Below are 19097 nucleotides of genomic sequence, written 5' to 3' on the forward strand. Positions count from 1 at the left end.
TGTGTGTGTATCTATGTGTTCCTCCGGAGCTGTCTTCATTATCCAGCTTCTGTGCCAGGCCTATGATTTTGGCCTTTATTTTTCATCTTCAAATGGAGTAGAAGAATTACCAATATTCCATCAATTGAGGTACAAATCCTGTAAAAATGGAAAAATCCATAGCACGCTTGATGATTAATGAAGCAGACTACGTTATCCAACATTCCAATGAGACAAAATAATCATAGTGATTTCTCTTTTTTGGAAAAAGTTTCTCTTATTCTCCTACATTATTGTTAAGATTTTTTTTTACACAAGAAACATGTCTAATATCTTTAAAAACATAAAGCTTTTGGGCTGGGCATGGTGGCTCACGTCTGTAATTCCAGCACTTTAGGACACTGAGGCAGGTGGATCACCTGAGGTCAGGAGTTCGAGATCAGCCTGGCTGACATGGTGAAACCCTGTCTCTACAAAATATACAAAAAATAGCCAGGTGTGGTGGGGTGGGCACCTGTAATTCCAGCTACATGGGAGGCTGAGGCAGGAGAATCACTTGAACCCGGGCGGCAGAGGTTGCAGTGAACCGAGATCGCGCCACTGCACTTCAGCCTGGGTGACAGAGCAAGACTCCAACTCACAAAAATAAATTAAATAAATAAATAAATAAATAAATAAACAAAGCTTTCAATTTAATAAGCATTCAAAGCTCCTTAACAGTTTAAAGCAAATACAGGGCCCTTCTAAAGTAAGGCTAAATGCTAAGTGATAGGGGAGAGAAAAAGGACATAAATAACTCCTACTCTCATGGGGTTAATCACTAAATTCTATTTTTCTAGAATCACCTGGAATCTCTAAACCTTGTAAATGAATCTGAATTTCTCACTCAATAGTTGGCTATGACTTACAATCATGAAAACCAAGAACTGTGTTATGTCATTGTGTATTGCTTGTTATGTGAATTCCACACTAGGTTGGTATCAATGGTTGAAGCTTTCATGATTTGATCCATAACCTTTGTGCTTCTTATCCCAAACCAAACTAAGCTTTTTTCTAGAGTTCTACAATTTGTAGTTAGTTAGTGTACAAGAGTGGTTCTCAAAAATGTAGTCTCTGGACCAGCAGCAGCTAAGAACTTTTTACAAATGCAAATTATCAGGCCCCACCCTAGAAGTGATGAATCAGAAACTCTGGAGTAGGGCCCAGCAATCTGTGCTTCAATAAACCCTCCAGGTGTTCAAGAACCTCTGGCATACAGCAGGTAGAAAAATGTGTTTCCTTCTGTAGGTCCAAAGCCAGGGATGCTATATGTTCTGTCTTGATATGAAACAATGACATGCAATTAAAAGACATAAATCTCCTTCCTACTTCCACCCTCCATCCAATGTGTTTTATTTTTATGAGTTAAATTAGAAAACAAGTGGCAATCAGAGATTTAGTCTAAAAAGTGTATTTACAGGTAACAGTTCTCATCCAGCCTGATCTCACACAATACCATTTACATCCTCTTACATCTAAAGTTTTAGAAAAGGATCTTCACAATGTAAGTCTCAGGCACAGTAGGAGTTCTATAATAAAAGATCAAGTAGATCTGAATGTCCAAACTTATTAGAAAAAAAATGGAATCATTGGTTATATTTTCAAATTGCATTCAACATGAAATTAAAAGTTTTGAAATTTTTTCACCTTCATAATTCTAAGTTAATAGAATTAAACCAGAATACTCCATTCTTTCAAAGCCTCTAGCCAGGCAAAATTTTACTCTATTACTTCTTGCTTTCAATGGATACAAAGGAGAGTCCTGGTAGGCACATTTTGTATACCTGCAAAGATGCAGAACAGTTTCATCTGTTCGATATTAAAACACAAGCCCTGTAAACCTTAGATGGTGAGTGTAATACTTCAGCACTAGCACCAAAGCCTCAAATGTGAAAAGATACCAAGAACACCACTAGCAAACAAAAGTAAACTCTCAACCAGGAGCAGTAGTTCACACATGTAATCCCAGCACTTTGGCAAGCCAAGGTGGGAGGATTACTTGAACTCAGGAGTTCAAGACCAGCCTGGGCAGCATAGCGAATTCATATCTCTACAGAAAATTTTAAAAATTAGCAGAGCGTGGTGGCACACACCTGTAGTCCTAGCTACTTGGGAGGCTGAGGCGGGAAAATCCCTTGAGCCCAAGAGTTTGAGGCTGCAGTAGCTATGATCATGCCACTGCACTCCAGTCTGGGTGACAGAACGAGACCTAGATAATTACATTCTGTCCTGCTCCTGTTTACACTAAAATCACTAAGTTAAAATGCTTTCATTCAGCAGGATAAAAATTAAGTAAAATGTGACTTTGGAGTTTGGCTAGCAAAAAGCAAAGAAAAAATACAGCAAAATGACAAATTACTTACTGGGAAAAAGTTTTTGTAACTTCAATGACAGATAAAAGGTTTGTATCCTTAGCTTATAAAGAAATCTTTAAAGTTACTCAGAAAAAGACAAATGATAAAAAAAGATAAAATATTTTATAATTTTATAAAATTACTCAGAAAAAAACAAATGATTTCCAACAGAAAGTGGGCAATGGAGAAACCGGCACTTCCTACAAAAATAAAAATGGCCAGTAAGCACGTAAAAAAGATCCAAAAGCACTAGAAACCAAAGAAATGTAATGAAAACAATATTGTCTGCTTAAAGACCAGCAAAGATGACAGATGGAAGGAGGAAACTGGAGCTCTGTCACTGTTGGTGGGAGTATAAACTGAACCAATTTTCCTGCAGGATAATTTGAAAATTTCTATTAAAATCCCTAAAACTGTTTTATATTATTTTCCTCCAGAAATTCTACTTCTATGAAATCAGTCCAAAAATGCTTGCTCGAGTCCATTAAAATGTATATATAAAGTTCATTTTAAAGCACTTATGAATTTCAGTTGGCATAAAGTTGAAACAATGACCTTTAGTTTTAAGTTGGTAACAAAAATAAATTCTCTATATATCACTTACTCCTTTCAGAAAAACAACCCAATACATACCTCTGTAGAAAATGTTTCTTCTGGATTTACCCAAATAACATAATAAATTCTCATTATTTTATTGCTTTTTAAAATTTTTTATTTATTCATTTTTTTGAGACAGAGTCTCGCTCTGTTGCCCAGGAATGCAGTGGCGCAATCTCGGCTCAATGAAACCTCTGCCTCCCGGGTTCAAGCGATTCTCCTACCTCAGCCTGCTGAGTAGATGGGATTACAGGTACGTGCCACCATGCCCAGCTAATTTTTTCTACTTTTAGTAGAGACGGGGTTTCACTGTGTTAGCGAGGATGGTCTTGATCTCCTGACCTCATGATCCACCCACCTCAGCCTCCCAAAGTGTTGGGATTACAGGCGTGAGCCACAGCGCCTGGCCTATTGTTATTTTTTTAAAAAGACTAAAACATGTTATATTACAGACACCACTGACTCAGTATGTCAAAAGGCTTAAGACTGAATTAGATCATCTGCTGAACTTTAAACTTAGTACTTACCTCTATTTGTAGATGAAGTTTGAAGCAACTGTTTGGCTTTGAGGGAAGTATGAGGCAAATTTTTCAGCCTTTGTGAAACTGTTGAAAAATAAGGAATTATAATATTTGCCTGGAAGTACAAGATAAAGGCTATGGCTTCTGACACAAACTTGAAAATTTATCAAAGAGTAGAAACCATAAGGTGCAAATATGTTAGAATCCTAGAAGCAAGAGACCCCGTTCTCCACAAAAAGAAAAAAAAAAGCCAAAAAGAAACAAAAAAGTGATGCTTAGTGCATTAAGTTGGAAAGAAAAGGGGATGGAACATAAACTTTTAAAAATAGTTTCTTACAGATGAGAAAATCTCCAATGTGTCAACTGGTCAAAATAGCAAAGAGAAAACAAACCACCAGCAAACATGCTACAGATGCAAAGAATACAAAGATAAAAGCGATAAACACAGCACACAGTATAGAATAAAGTAAGTGCAGCACTTGTCCAATGCAAAAAAGCAGATTTTGGCAAAACAGTTATTGTTAGATGAATTACCCTAATGTGAAACCATAATCTCCAGACTACTTGAAAAGGAGAAGAAAACTCAGAACCAAGCAGGTCCTCAGAAAGTCACAATCTAGTAGCTTCATTATGTTCAGTATCATGCAGCGTACAACTAATTTTTTATCTAGGCTGTGCACATATGTATGTAGGTGGAGGGTTGTATGCAATATTGGTGTGGGTTGAGGGGTCTGGAGGAGTCAGACCATCTGCCTTTTAAAGTTTTCAATGAGGAAAGCTAAGCTTTCTTCCAAACTCCCAATCTATTAACTGCACTGAAACTCAAAATTAGCAGGTAAGCAGCAGCCCAGGGCTATCCAGAGATAAAGCGGTTCCAATTTCTCCAATATACAGTTACTATGGCTCTGATGGACTGATGAGTCTCACACCTACCAGTGCAGTCATCTATTTAAGTGGCTCTAAAATATTTTAGTTACTCTATTGATTTGAAAGTCAGACTTCCTATACCCCTAGGATTTATGTGCAAAAAAGAGCTCTCATCACTATAAATCTAGCCAGACTGCATAAACATTATTGGGGTGATAAAGGGATACTTGACATATTATCAGAAAGAATTAAGATTTCTCAGCCAGGTGTGGCGGCTTACGACTATAATACCAGCACTTACAGGCCTTTGGGAGGCCAAGGCAGGAGGATTTGCTTGAGCCCAGGAGTTTGAGACTATCCTGGGCAACACAGGGAGACTCTGTCTCCACAAAAAAATAAAAATAAACAAATAAGCCAGCTGTGGTGGTGTGCCTGTGGTCCCAGCTATTCAGGAGGCTGGGGTGGGAAGAGTGCTTGAGCCCAGGAGGCTGTAGTGAGCCATGATTGCATCACTGCACTCCATCCAGCAAGGTCGATGGAACAAGGCTCTGTCTTAAAAAAAAAAAAAATTCTGTCCCATGTATTGCTTAATTCTATAAAAACTTGAAAACTATTCTTTTCTCACAGATAATAAACTTTTTAAAAAGTAACAAATGTATTTGATTACAAATTTTATAGCACTCCAAACATTACTGTAGCTAAATAACATTGGATACCAACTTAACTTAAATATTGCCAGGCAGGCAAGCAAAAAATTATCTATATCTAAAAACTCAATTTTTTAATGGGTTATCTTATTTCTACTGCAAAAAAATACAGGTTGTTATCAGAGTATTTTTGTTTGTTTGTTTCGAGACGGAATCTCACTTTGTCATCTAGGCTGGAGTGCAGTGGCGCAATCTCAGCTCACTGCAACCTCTACCTCCTGAGTTCAAGCGATTCTCCTGCCTCAGCCTCCTGAGTAGCTGGGACTACAGGCACACGCCACCACCACACCTGGCTAATTTTTGTATTTTTAGTAGAGACAGGTTTCACCATGTTGGCCAGGCTGGTCTCGAACTCCTGAACTCATGATCCGCCTGCCTTGGTCTCCCAAAGTGCTGGGATTATAGGCGTGAGCCACCACATCTGGCCTTAGAGTATTTTTCATCTACATATTTATTCATATATGTTTTCAACCATTTATATTTTTATTCATCCATTCACTCACTCGTTCCTGTTTTTTTGTTTTTTCATTCACTCAAATAGTTTAGTATCTGCTTTACTCCAGGTACTGTCTTAGGTATAATGTATTGAGTAGGCAACTAGGTGGATACAGTTCCTACTCTCATGAAACTAATATTCTAGGAAAGGGGAGGAAGACAATGAGGCAGTGAAATATAGGGCCTGCCAGATAGTGATAGTTGCTAAGGAGAAAATTAAGTAGAAAAGAGGGACAAGAAGTAGGAGATTTAAGTTGCAATTATAACTAGGGCGATCAGAAAATACTTCCCTAAGATGACATTTGCACAAAGATCTGAAGGCAGATAGGAAGTCAGTTATGCAGATATGTGGAGAAAGCATTCCAGATGGAAAGAACAGCAATTGTAAAGGTTACTGAGATAGGAGCATGCCTTGTAGGTTTGAAGAACAGAACCTAGGCCGGTTGTTGGAGTAGAATAAATGAGGGCAAAAGGTAACCAACTGAACATACAGTGGCAGTTCACAATATCTATTAACCATTAAAACAATTTTTAATAAAGATTCAATATCAAATAGTATCTATAATACATGCTTCTGGAAAGATCCTATTTGAATAAATAGCTACGGTGACTCCAATGGACCCTACCCTACCCTACCCTAATGGACACACCTATTATGTGTGTCATAATAACAACAGCATCTACAGACAAGCAAAAACTGTGCATTGGGAATCTGAAGAATAAGATTACACACAGAACCAGGTCATAAACTCTAAATGTGCCTGATACAGAAAGAATGAAATGAATGATTTTCCCAAAATGCCAGTCATATAATATTACTCAAATAACAAAAATCCAATGTTATTCTGAATTATCAATCTTAATTTGATGAGTTTTCTAAAGACAAAATTTTTTTTTTTTTTTTTTTTTTGAGGAAGAGTCTCGCTCTGTTGCCCAGGCTGGAGTGCAGTGGCGCAATCTCGGCTCACTGCAACCTCTGCCTCCCGGATTCAAGCAATTCTCCTGCCTGGCTAATTTTTGTATTTTTAGTAGAGACAGGGTCTCACCATGTTGGCCAGGCTGGTCTCAAATTCATGACCTAGTGATCCACCCACCTCGGCCTCCCAAAGTGCTGGGATTATAGGCATGAGCCACCGCACCTGGCCCTGATCATTTATATTAACTATACAGTTTTTTAAAATCAATATTTCCATAAAGAGGATCATGACTTCCAAGTGTTTTATTTCCCAAAAAATTTTGAGCCATTGGACTAGACAGTCATTTATTTCTTATAACATTTATTAAATAATTTGCCAAGCCTTTATGTTTTAAGTCCCATAAAGGAAACGCAAGCCCCAATTAGGCCTTATGCTTCTAGAAATACCTGCTAATAAAGTGCCTCCCACATCACTGGTGGTTAACAGATGGCAGTAGAGAGAATGACAGACAACAGGAAGTGTGTTGATACCTTTGTTTCCTTCAGGGGTTGGCTCCTTCTTTTCTTCCTGTACTATGGACTCCTCTAGGTCCTTAGGGGTTGGGTCTAAAAATTCCCACTTTTCATTGGCATAAAACACAGACCTCCGACTATCATTATGTCCATTCCCAGGATGGAAAGAAGACATCAAATTTCTATTGGGAAAAATGATATGTGTTATTAACAAAAACAAAAGTAAAACAAAACGTAATCTTATGTATATAGGATTGGCAAAAATTAAAATATCTGATAATATCAAATGTTGGTGAGAATATGGAGAAATTGGCATTCTTATACACTGCTGGTGGGAGTATAAATTGATAATATTACCATGGAGAGTAACTCAGCAAGGTACTGCTAAGTTGGAGAGGCGCCTGCCCCTAACACCCAGTATTTCTTAAAATAAATCCTTACATACGTGCACAAGGAGACACAAACAAGAACATTCACTGTAACACTGTTCATATTACAAAAAAAAAAAAAGGTACAACAAGCTAAACATTCATCAACAGGAGAATAAACTGTGGCATATTCATATAGTCAAGTACTATACAGCACTTAAAATGAACTCATTCATTCAACAAATGTTGATTGAGCCTACCACATGCCAGACACTATCTAGATGCTTGGAATATCCTAGTGAACAAAACATAGCAAGATTATTGTTCTTGTGGAATGCACATTTCAGCTAAAGCTATCTGTATCATAGGGATAAATATTTTTTAAATGCTGAATGAAAAGTGAAAGAAAATGGAAGAATTATAGGTACAGCATGATACTGTTTTATGTCTTCAGATAATACTGTTAATAGAGACTATTTATAGATACATACATATGTAGTAAAACTATTTTTTAAAATCCACACATGAATGACAATAATCAAATACAGAATATTGGCTACCTCTGTAAAGGGAAAGAAGAATAGGATTAATAAGAGAGGATTTGGCTGGGCACGGTGGCTCACGCCTGTAATCCCAGCACTGTGGGAGGCTGAGGTGGGAAGATCACTTGAGGTCAGGAGTTTGAGACCAGCCTGGCCAACATGGTGAAACCCTATCTCTACTAAAAATACAAAAATTAGCCATGTGTGGGGGCGCATGCCTGTAATCCAAGCTACTAGGGAGGCTTAGATGGGAGAATTGCTTGAACCCGGGAGATGGAGACTGCAGTGAGCCGAGATTGCACCAATGCACTCCAGCCTGGGCAACAGGATGAGACTCTGTCTGGAAAAAAAAAAAAAAAAAAAAAGAAGAGAGGATTTTAATTGTATCTGTAATGTTTTGTTTTTAAAAATGCAGTGGAAAAATGACAAAACTATAAAAATGAGTCATGGCTATCTGAGTAATCAATATACTTGCCCGTGTGCTAAAAATATTTCATTAAAAGTTTTAAAAACTAGGTTGGGATTTCTGTTTCCGGTGAAGACGGAATAAAAGGAACTAGATTTACCTTCCGCCGTGAAAACTAAAGAACTGAAAAAAGTATAGAAACTGTGGTTTTCGGTCATTGGCCATCAGGCAGCAAAGGATAGTGATCCTGAGAGAGAGAAAGCCAATGAGGTAAGACCACCTTACTGTCCGGGGACAGTTTCCAGGCCAGGGTGCAGGCAAGGGGCACCCAGGAGGAGCCCAGCATCTCTCTGAGCTGAGAAGATAGAGTGGGGAGTCTCAAGGCAGCTGCAGCTGACAGAGCAGAGTAATAAAGAGAAGGGGGCTGCACAGAGGGAGTGTTGCAGAGATCTTAGACGGTCCCCCTAATCTCCAACTGAGTACTGATCAGGGTTTGCATGTAAGAAAGCTATCTGAGAACAGAGAAAGAACCCCCTGCGAGAAGCAAAGGAAACAATCCCAGAGCCTCACACAGGACCAGAAATAGTGCCTAGTCTCACCAGACAGAGTGGAAAACCTCATAATTCACAGGGCATCCGAAAGAGTACTCAGAAAGGCTACCAACAATATCCCTAAAGCCTACTCTCATCTTACCTAGCAAAGCTTAAAAGCAAACTTCAAAAGGATCAAACTGTTTCTGAGTAATTTAATACATCCAAGAACAAAGCTCAAGAATATTTATAGCAACACCAAAAAATCCAGCACACAAAAAGGTAAAATTCACAATAGCTGATATCCAATTTTAAAAATGACCAGGCATGCAAGAAGTGGGAAGTATAACTCATAATGAGGAAAACAATCAATCAACAGAAACAGGCCAGAAACAACAAATGATAACATTAGCAGACAGGGACTCTAAAAGTTCTAACTGTATTCTTCATGTTCTCAGAGCTAGAAAAAAAAAATGAACATCTTAGAGACATGGAAGATATTTTTTTAAAAACAGACTTAAATCAAATTTCCAAAGGTAAAACTACAATGCCTATGATGAAAAATATGCTAAATAGGAATAAGAGCAGACTAGACATTGTAGAAGGAAAGACCAGTGAATTTGATGACCCTGCAATAGAAATGACCTAAAATGAAACAGAAAAAAAGACAAAAGAAACAAAGGAAGGAAGGATGGATGGACAAATGAGCCAGTCACTGAAGGAGAGGAGAAAGGGAGGAGATGGAATAAAAGTATATGAAGAAATAATGACCAAAAAATTTTCCAAATTCGATGAAAACTATAAACTCACAGATCAAAGAAGCTCAACAAACTTCAAGCACAGGAATCATGAAGAAAACTGTATCAAGGCATATGATAACCAAATTGCTTAATATAAATAATATTTAAAGTTGTAAGTATAACCTTAATTTGCAAAAGAAATAAAGGAATAGTCAAATTTTAAAAGTTAAACTGTCAAAAGATGAAGAGACATCTTAAATTAATTCATTTGAGCAGTCAGTAAGTGGAGTGGTGAGGAAGAGACATGCTCACATGAACCACCTACTTATATGCACACACACACATATGCTTATATCCTCTTACTTCATAGAGCTGTACTTATTGAATACTACTCAGCAATAAAAGGGATGAAATAAGAAAACACCAAACAATATAAATAAGTCTCCAAAAGGTTCAGTGAAAGAAGACACACAGGCCGGGTGCGGTGGCTCACGCCTGTAATCCCAGCACTTTGGGAAGCCAAGGCAGGTGGATCACGAGGTCAGGAGATCGAGACCATCCTGGCTAACACGGTGAAATCCCGTCTCTACTAAAAAATACAAAAAAATTAGCCGGGCTTGGTGGTGGGTGCCTGTAATCCCAGCTACTGGGGAAGCTGAGGCAGGAGAATGGTGTGAACCCGGGAGGCAGAGCTTGCAGTGAGCCGAGATTGCACCACTGCACTCCAGCCTGGGTGACAGAGCGAGACTCCATCTCAAAAAATAAAAAAAAATTAAAAAAAAAAGAAGACACACAGGAGACTACATTGAGTAGGATTCCATTTATATAAAATTTTTGTAAGTCAAAGCTATAATGACAGAAAGCAGATCAGAGGTTGCCCAGGGCCAGGGATTAAGGGAAGGGATCAACTGCAAAAGAGCATGAAGGCATTTTTAAAGGTGATGGAAATGTTCTATTTATCTTGATTGTGGAGGTGTTTACATCAATGTGTATAATTTCTAAAATTCATCAGCCTATTCACCTAAAATAAGTGAACTTATTGGAGGTAAATTATACCTCAATGAAGTTACTAAAATAAACATGCAAATAAACACAGAAGAGGAAGAAATGTATAATGTGGTGTTTTCTGAGGTAGATTAAACATAAGGAGGGAAAAGGTGGTTTCATCTCTAGTTTGAATCAGGCAGATGATATTCTCATGTAAAATAGTCATTTCTCAATGTGTGTGGTTTTTTGTTTTTGTTTTTGTTTTTTTGAGATGGAGTTTCAGTCTTGTTGCCCAGGCTGGAGTGCAGTGGTGTGATCTTGGCTCACTGCAACCTCCACCTCCTGGGTTCAAGTGATTCTCCTGCCTCAGCCTCCCCAGTAGCTGGGATTACAGGCGCCTGCCACCACCCCCAGCCAATTTTTGTATTTCTAGTAGAGACAGGGTTTCGCCATGTTGGCCAGGCTGGTCTCAAACTCCTGACGTCGTGATCTGCCTGCCTTGGCCCCCCAAAGTGCTGGGATTACAGGCGTGAGCCACCACACCCCACCCCTCAATGTGTTTTTCAAAGCATATCGTGTTTCCTTTTTACTTGTACTTTAAACATTCAGAAGAATGAAGAGAAATTATATAACACACTTATGTTCTCATCACACTGTTACAACATGTGAATGTATAACCTTTTGCTAACTGCTTTAACAAAGAGTCACTGTTTAGAACCTATATTCACTTTCTCATGGCTTATTTACCTAGGACCAAGAGGGAGCTGGTCAACAACATAAAGCATCTTGCACATGCTATTTATTTCCTAAGTCTCTTCCAGAGCCTGGCATTGTGCCACACATCTTCATAAAACACTGCATAAAAGGATTCTAGTCAATTCCCATGTGACCTAATGAGCAAGATACTGTATAAAGTCTGATTTTATAAAAATTATAAAAAATTATAAAAGTGTAGAGAAAGCTATTTCAAAATAGCTGCTCAGGAAGAAAACTCTCACAAATGCTTACTTTACTTTTGCTCGTTTTTTTGACACGCCGCTGGACTCAGTGTACCACGACGTTTCAGTGGCCCTGCCTATGGCAAGGATCTCACAACAGCCTTCTCTTAGGTGGTATGTGACTACTAACACCATCAATTTTAGGAATTCAATTCTCCTTGCCACTTGCCCTAGCCATCAAACTGTGCTCCTTGGCTCTGCTTCCTAAAGGGGGAATGCAGGAAAGAGGAGTAAGAACAGTGACACCCCACATGGCCTGGGGAGAAAGAACAGCAATTTCAGTGACTTAGAACTGCCACACACCCTCCTTCCTCCCACAGTGGTTCTGTGTTTCCAGCCTGTCACAAGCCGACTCACACAAAGCTGTGCTCTAACCTGCTGGGGGTGCGGTGCCACTTGCCAAGCCCTGGGTAACAGAGAAATGGAATCAGGCTCAAAGTGAAAGCCTCCAGAAACTGAAACACTATATAGCCAATTCCTGTTTTAGCTCTTTTGTGGCGAAACCCAATTCTGGGACTGGGCAACAAGGGGGTCATTAGGGTGCAGACTTTTCAGACACACTCACCCCATCTGCTCTGGCCCACAGAGGCCTCGGTGGTAACCATGTGTCCTGCCTGTGCATTCTACTGCGGAGCTCACAGCTGGTTTAAATGAGGCTATTTTTTAAGCTGGTGTTAGAGTCTGTTCTATGGCAGTATCTGCTGTTTAAAGATCCCAATCTCATTTGACAGATCTTTGAGAGGGCCTTCTGTGTTCTCCCAGGCATTGTGCTAGGTGCCCACCTATAAACACTCAGCTGCTCTGAAATAGAAAGTTCCAGCAAGCAGCAAAACAGCACCTTAGTAGGGGCTGTGTTCAGCCTGAGCTTTTTTTAAACAAATATCAGCGATCGCTGTCATCCTTAAGAAAACTGCTTTCTAAGCTTACATATTTCAGACGGAAGTCTGAACAGTTTAAAAATGTCTTAACTAAAACAGTAATAATTTTTTTGATATGCGTTTTTTGACATGCGTTTGAATTCTGATAACCAGCCAGAATTTACGAGTTGACAGAATTGTTGGGAAATGTTCCATCAAATCTCTTCCGAGTTAACTCCTCCACAAACTGCCTGCACAGCCACATTTTAGGCAACACCACAACCTCTTCAGCAGTGGGATGACATGGCAGAGGCAGAGGGTTTGCACTTGCCAGGACTTCGTGTACGGGAGGGAGGTAGGCTACCACTGCTGCCAGCTCCCTCCCTCCCTCCAGACTACAAGCCCTGTTGAGGGAAACAAAGGTTGGGGGTCCAGGGAGGAGGTTGTTGGGGGAGTTTCCTCTGTAGCCATCCCAATAAAGTTGACTCAGTATTTCCTCCTCCACAAATTAATTCCTCAAATATATTCTCACAAGGACAGAGATATATATATATATATATACATATATACACACACAAGGATACCACAAAAATGCTATTTGAAATGACAAAAAAAAGTAGAAACAAGCAGATGTCTGTGGCTAGGAAACTGGTTAAATTAGGGCGCATTCATATAACTGAACTCTGTTAGAACAAGAGCTCTAATAAAGACTAACAAGTTAAGACATTCCAGATAAGTGCCTATATAATGCCCCAGTTCAAAGGGGCATGGCAAGTGGCCCTACACTCCCCGCCATTGCTAACCCCTCCTGACTCACCTGCAGGTAAGAGCACAGCTTTGGCATAAGTGGGCCTCATGACATGGTAAATATAGAGAAACTGTGTTTGAAGGAAGAGTGAGTGGAATTCTAAGTCACTGAAATAGCTATACACTAAAACAGTGGATACTGCATGATCCCTCTGTGTAGATCACATATACACCGAGCAAATTTCAGGGTGCATACATAACCAATTTCAGTTCTAGTGGTGACTTCTGGGAAGTGGACTTAGAAGGACTTTCACTTTTAACTGTGCACCCCTCAGCAATGGCTGATTTTTCTTTTTATACACATGCATGACTTTTACAATGAAGTACAAACACACAACTAAGAAGGCAGGCCAAATGGGGAATCTATCAGGTGGCAGGCCTGCAAGCCAGAGGTCATTTGCTATGGTTTGAACGTCCCCTCCAAAACTCATGTTGAAATGTAATTGTCACTGTGATAGTATTAAGAGGTGGAACCATTAAGAGGTGATTAGGCCATGAAGGCTCAGTCCTCACGAATGGATTAACGCTGTTATCTCAGGAGTGGGCCTAGATTCAACTGCAGAAGAGGAGATGGCAATGTGGCCAGGGAAGCAGAGATTACAGCAAGCCAGCCATAGACCAAGCAATGCCAGCAGCCACCAGAAGCTGGAAGAGGCCCGGAACCGACTTTGCCCTGGAGCCTCCAAAGAAACCAGTCCTGTCGACACCTGAACTTAGGCCTAGTGAAGCTGATTTTGAACTTCTGGCCTCCCAAACTATCAGAGAATTAATATGTGTTGTTTTAAAACATCAAGTTTATGGTAACTTGTTACAGCAGCCAGAGCAAATTAATACAATCACTCTCTAAAAAGCTATTGCCCTTCAAACCAAGGACTTTGAGAGGCTGCTTTCTGCTGTGGTCCAGGCTTCAGCTGGCATTCAAGTTTGGAGCATTAATGTCCAAAGTTAGAATATATTTACTTCTGATATGATGTCTTTTGATCCTGAGGATCTGGGAGGGTGTCATCAGAAAGACCCTTTCCAAAATACTCTAGACATTTACCTGGACAGATGAGTACATCATCCTTCCAATTCTAACACATTAGAGCAAACACCTAATAAAACGTGCACAGCCTCAAATAAACCAAACATCTAAGAAACAATACTCTTGTTGTAGAACTTTCAGACAGGTACAGCTCCACTGGTTCCCTACTGCCCAAAGGGCAGACACCCCCACCCCTTCACCCTGGGCTCCCTGGCCTCCTCAGCTCCTCTTCTATCCTCACCCCCTTAAGCACCCTATGCACCTGGCATGAGAACCCATGCCACTTGTGAGACACACCCTGTTCTGACTTCCTTGCCTCTGCATGGGTGTCCTTGAACTTACATTTCCCTTTGGCCAGTCCCTCTCCATCGCTCAAGCCCTTTAAGTCAAAACTCGTCTTCAGAGCAAAACCATCACTAGCCTCTCCCAAAACCCACACCGCAAAGAATAAGCCATTTCTTCCTGGTGCACCCAGGGAGGCTGTGACATGCTGGGTTCAGCCTTGAACTGCACCCTACGGCACCTGTGGCAGAGGACTCACAGGCCTTGCCTGCCTGTCTTCCTGAGAACCCTTCAAACTGCTGAAGGCAGGGAGGGACAGCCTCTTACCCAAGGGAACAACCTCAGCCCCATCCCACAGTGAGGGGGAGAGGAAAATGCAGCAGGGAGGGAGGGAGCACCAGCTGCACAGCCAGGCAGTCCTGCAGAATGGGCTTCTCTAAACTTGAGTGGTGACCCACTGTGGGCCAGGATATCAAATTAAGAAGATAAGAAGTCAATTTTGAGGGGACAAGCATTTTTTTTAGTATTAAAAGAGAAAATAGTACTTAGCTTTACTATATGTAGCAGTGACATTTTTCTTTCAGTTTTATGTACATACTGACAGTATACATTTACATACAAAGGTGTATTATCTGCTGTCGGTTCCCAGTCAAAAAAGTGAACAACACTGTGTCCGAAGGTAACATCCTTCCCAGTGTCCAGAATTGGTTCCTTCTGGTGGGTTCTTAGTCTCGCCAACTTCAAGAATGAAGCTGCAGACCTTTGCGGTGAGTGTTGCAGCTCTTAAAGGTGGCACGGACCCAAAGAGTGAGCAGCAGTAAGATTTATGATGAAGAGCGAAAGAACAAAGGTTCCACAGCATGGAAGGGGACCCGAGCAGGTTGCCGCTGCTGGGTGGGGTGGCCAGCTTTTATTCCCTCATTTGTCCCTGCCCACATCCTGCTCATTGGTCCATTTTACAGAGCGCTGATTGGTCCATTTTACAGAGTGCTGATTGATCCATTTTACAGAGTACTGATTGGTGTGTTTACAATCCTTTAGCTGGACACAGAGCACTGATTGGTGCGTTTTTACAGAGTGCTGATTGGTGCATTTACAATCCTTTAGCTAGACACAGCGCTGACTGGTGTGTTTACAATCCTCTAGCTAGACAGAAAAGTTCTCCAAGTCCCCACTCGACCCAGGAAGTCCAGCTGGCTTCACCTCCCACCAGGAGGCCAAACAAAAAGGACAGTGCTGAGAGGAACCATCGTCCTGCTAGGGAAGGGAGTGTGGCACAAAGGCAGGTGGGTGTGGGCAGACCCCCCCTGCCACGGGTGTGCAGGGCAGAGGATGATGAGCCCCAAGCAGCAGGAGCAGGAGCAGTAGAGCAACTCTGCCCCTGAAAGGGTCTGGAGCCTTCCCTCATCACTCTTCCTCAAGTCGATGCTGGACACCCACTATGTACCAGGCCGTGTGAGGCACTGGGGTAAACCAGAGACAAGACAGACAGGGTCCCTGCCCCATGGAGCTCCCAGCCTTGCAAGGGAGCTAGACCACAGATGAGTACACAAAGAAATACAGTAACTACAGGCAGTGGTAAGGGCTGTGAAGGAGAAGCACGGCAGTGAGGAATGGGAGGAACAGGGAAGGCTTCTCTGAAGAACGAACAGAAGTAACCAGAGAAGAGACAGCCCGCCCTGCAAAGGGACAGCCTGAGGCAGGGCCTGTCGGGAAGACAATACATCTGAAGAACTGCAAGAAGTCAAGTGGGCCTGCAACAGAGGAAATGACAGGAGTCAGACCCCATGGGACCCTGAAGGCCATGTTCAGCAGCACAGCCTTCAGCCTAAAGCAATGAGAAGCCTCTGAAAGGCTGAGGCAGTAGATTGAATTGATTCAGGTCCCTTAGAATTGGGTCCCTGCAACAGGTGGACCCAGGACCGGCAGAGAATGCAGATAGGCGCCCCTCCTCAGCCCCCAACTCTAAATATAACAGAAGACATGGCTCAGTTGCTCCCTTGGTGGCCCTGGACAAGACAGGCTGAAGTTCTCTGAGCCTCCGCTTCCCATGCTGAGTCATGGTGAAAGGTCTCTGAGTCTACAGGCCAAAGCCACTGCTCCTCTCATGACTGCAGTGATTTCCATGGACAGTGTTATGCAACGGCGGCCCTTCTGATACGTGGGGCCCTGGGAGCGTGTGAACTGATCGAGACCAAGAGGACTGATGGGACACAACTGCTAAGCACAACCTCATGCTCCTGGGAGCTATCAAAGAAGACCAGGCACCAATGCAGCAACACACACACACAGCCCAGCCAACTTCCCGCAACTGCTGAAACTCCACGGGCCCAAAAGCAAGTCGCCTTCCTTCCTGCTTCCTTCTCTAGAAGGTCTGGCTTTAAAAATGTCACTGTGAGGCAGCAGCATGGTGACTACATGCCTTGTCTTTCTTGGCAGACAGAGCCATGCCTTCCAACGAGGAAAATTACAAATACCACGTTATGGCTCCTGGACAGGAACAACTTCTCCCAATTCACCAAACATCTGTGTGCCTGCTTTGAGCTGGTTTGCGCCCTCTGCTGCAAACAGGGGCTGAAGAGACGAGTCACTGTCACGACTTTAGAGTCCTAGACACTAAAACCATAATAGATTCTTGGGAACCCCCGCCGTGCTCACAGATAACTCTTTCTACCAGGCCTGAGTGGGTCAAGAATGAAGCAAAAACTAAGAGTCAGAGCAGGGCCAACTGCAGGGCCCGCAGAAGACCTGTGGGAGGGAGGCCTGGAAGGAAGAGCACACCTTCCCGGCCAGCTCAGCCCTCACAACTGCCCTTGAGAAAGGCACCCTGTCCACTCCACCCAAGGGAGTGGAGACACACTTCACCTACTGGCTCAAAAGAGTCAGAGGGGCAACAGTGGCAGCAATGCCAGCAGGCCTGGGGTGTGTAGCCACCATTTACAGAGCACTTACAATCAGTCAGGCAGTGTGCTAGGCATTTCTTATTTGTAACCTTAACAACACTCTCACTGATCCAGAGAGGGAGAGGTTTACACACACACACACACACACACACACACACACACACACACACACTCCAAGAGGATATGAGGGCTTAAAGCTTGGGTTAGGCAATAAGCATCTGGCATCCTCTAAGCATGAAAGGCACAGTAGTGAACTATACTGACAAAATCTCCTCCTAGGAGGTGATGCTCTAGTAGGACACAACAGCAGATGCTCAAAGACTAGATCAGGGAGCAAAACCATCCTGAATCTCTAGCCGACTGAGGGCCCCCTGTGCTGGCTGGTGAGCTACTGCCTACTGGACAATCATGAAAGCCACAGTCTCCCTAGGGATCCTCTCAGCTCCTTGCCCCTCAGATGGTCTCACACAACCGAGTGCTCAGGATGTTTACTGAACTGAGCACTTTAGGCAGAGTATTTCACAGAACACTAGTTAGAAGCCACTAATTAGTCACGACTACCTAGTTTACCATTTCCACAATACATTCATTCTGTGAAAGTAAACGAAACCCAGCTGAGGGCTAGCCTGATACGATATAGGTAAACACCCAATCAAATATCATTAAGACCCCACTACATAAATACCAGAACTGAAAATTGCTAATGAAAATGCCCTTCCCTCTCCCAGTCTGAGATACAATGGCAGGGTCCTTTTCTTTCTTTAGAGGAAGGGGTTGTTACTGTCTATATTTTGTTCTGACTGGAGGTGGGAAGTCTGCACCCCAGTGCCTCAAAGGTAAAAGCGTCTGACCAAGGACACCTGTCTACCCTCATCAGATGCCTCAGTGAGGTGGGAGCTGGTACACCTCCACCCCGAATGCATCTGACCCCTCCTTTCATTTCTCAAGAAATTGTTATCTCCATGGTGGAAGGAAACTGGCAATGTGCATACAAGCAAAGCAAGTGCAGCAGGAGAGAAGTCAATGCTAAGGGCCATTAGGAATCCTTCAGGAAAGGAAGTCCACCGGGGTGGGGCTGGCCCCAGCCACACATACCTGCCAAAGTGAGCTTCATCCATCACAGCACCCCCAACTCAGAAACAATTAAGAAGCAACTGCTCCAAATAGGTTCAGCTTTGCATTTATCTACTTTTAAATGTTTGCCAGTACATAACATATAAATACTTCAACCCTTCATACACAAACAAGATAATCCTCCAACCTAGTTAAATAAAAATACTAGGCATGACTAAACCATCATCAGTGCCACGGTCTGAATGTCTGTGTCCCCACAAAATTCCTATGTTGAGACCTAGTCCCCAAGATAATAGTAGTAAGAGTGAAGCCTTGTGGGAAGTGATTAAGTCATGAGGGCAGACCCCTCTGGAATGAGATCAGGGTCCTTATAGAAGAGGCCAGAGTGGTAAAAGGGATTTCAGGAGAAAAATACACTTAGCTAGGTAGCTAGATACATACATACATATATATGTATACATACATGGATATATACACACATATATATGTATACATAGATGGAGGCCCCAGAGGGAACTTGTCTGTCCCTTCTGCTGTGAGAACACCGCTACAAGGCATCATCTCTAAAACAGAGAGTGAGCCCCCACCAGA

General features: G+C 42.1%; 1 non-coding gene across 1 annotated transcript, besides 1 other annotated feature; it reads left to right on the forward strand.

The window, feature by feature from the left end:
* Positions 12152-12321: an enhancer, noted in NCBI's record as "active region_6853". NCBI's record gives its function as "activates an Ori minimal core promoter by ATAC-STARR-seq in GM12878 lymphoblastoid cells {active_cell/tissue: GM12878}" and the evidence as "EXISTENCE:reporter gene assay evidence [ECO:0000049][PMID:35858748]".
* MIR1827 (microRNA 1827) lies at positions 16338-16403 on the forward strand. The gene has a single exon (NR_031728.1). It is a non-coding gene; the product is annotated as a microRNA 1827 (primary transcript).
* Positions 16404-19097: the final 2694 nt, after the last annotated feature.

This window comes from Homo sapiens, chromosome 12 (genome assembly GCF_000001405.40).
Source record: "Homo sapiens chromosome 12, GRCh38.p14 Primary Assembly".
NCBI lineage: Eukaryota > Metazoa > Chordata > Mammalia > Primates > Hominidae > Homo > Homo sapiens.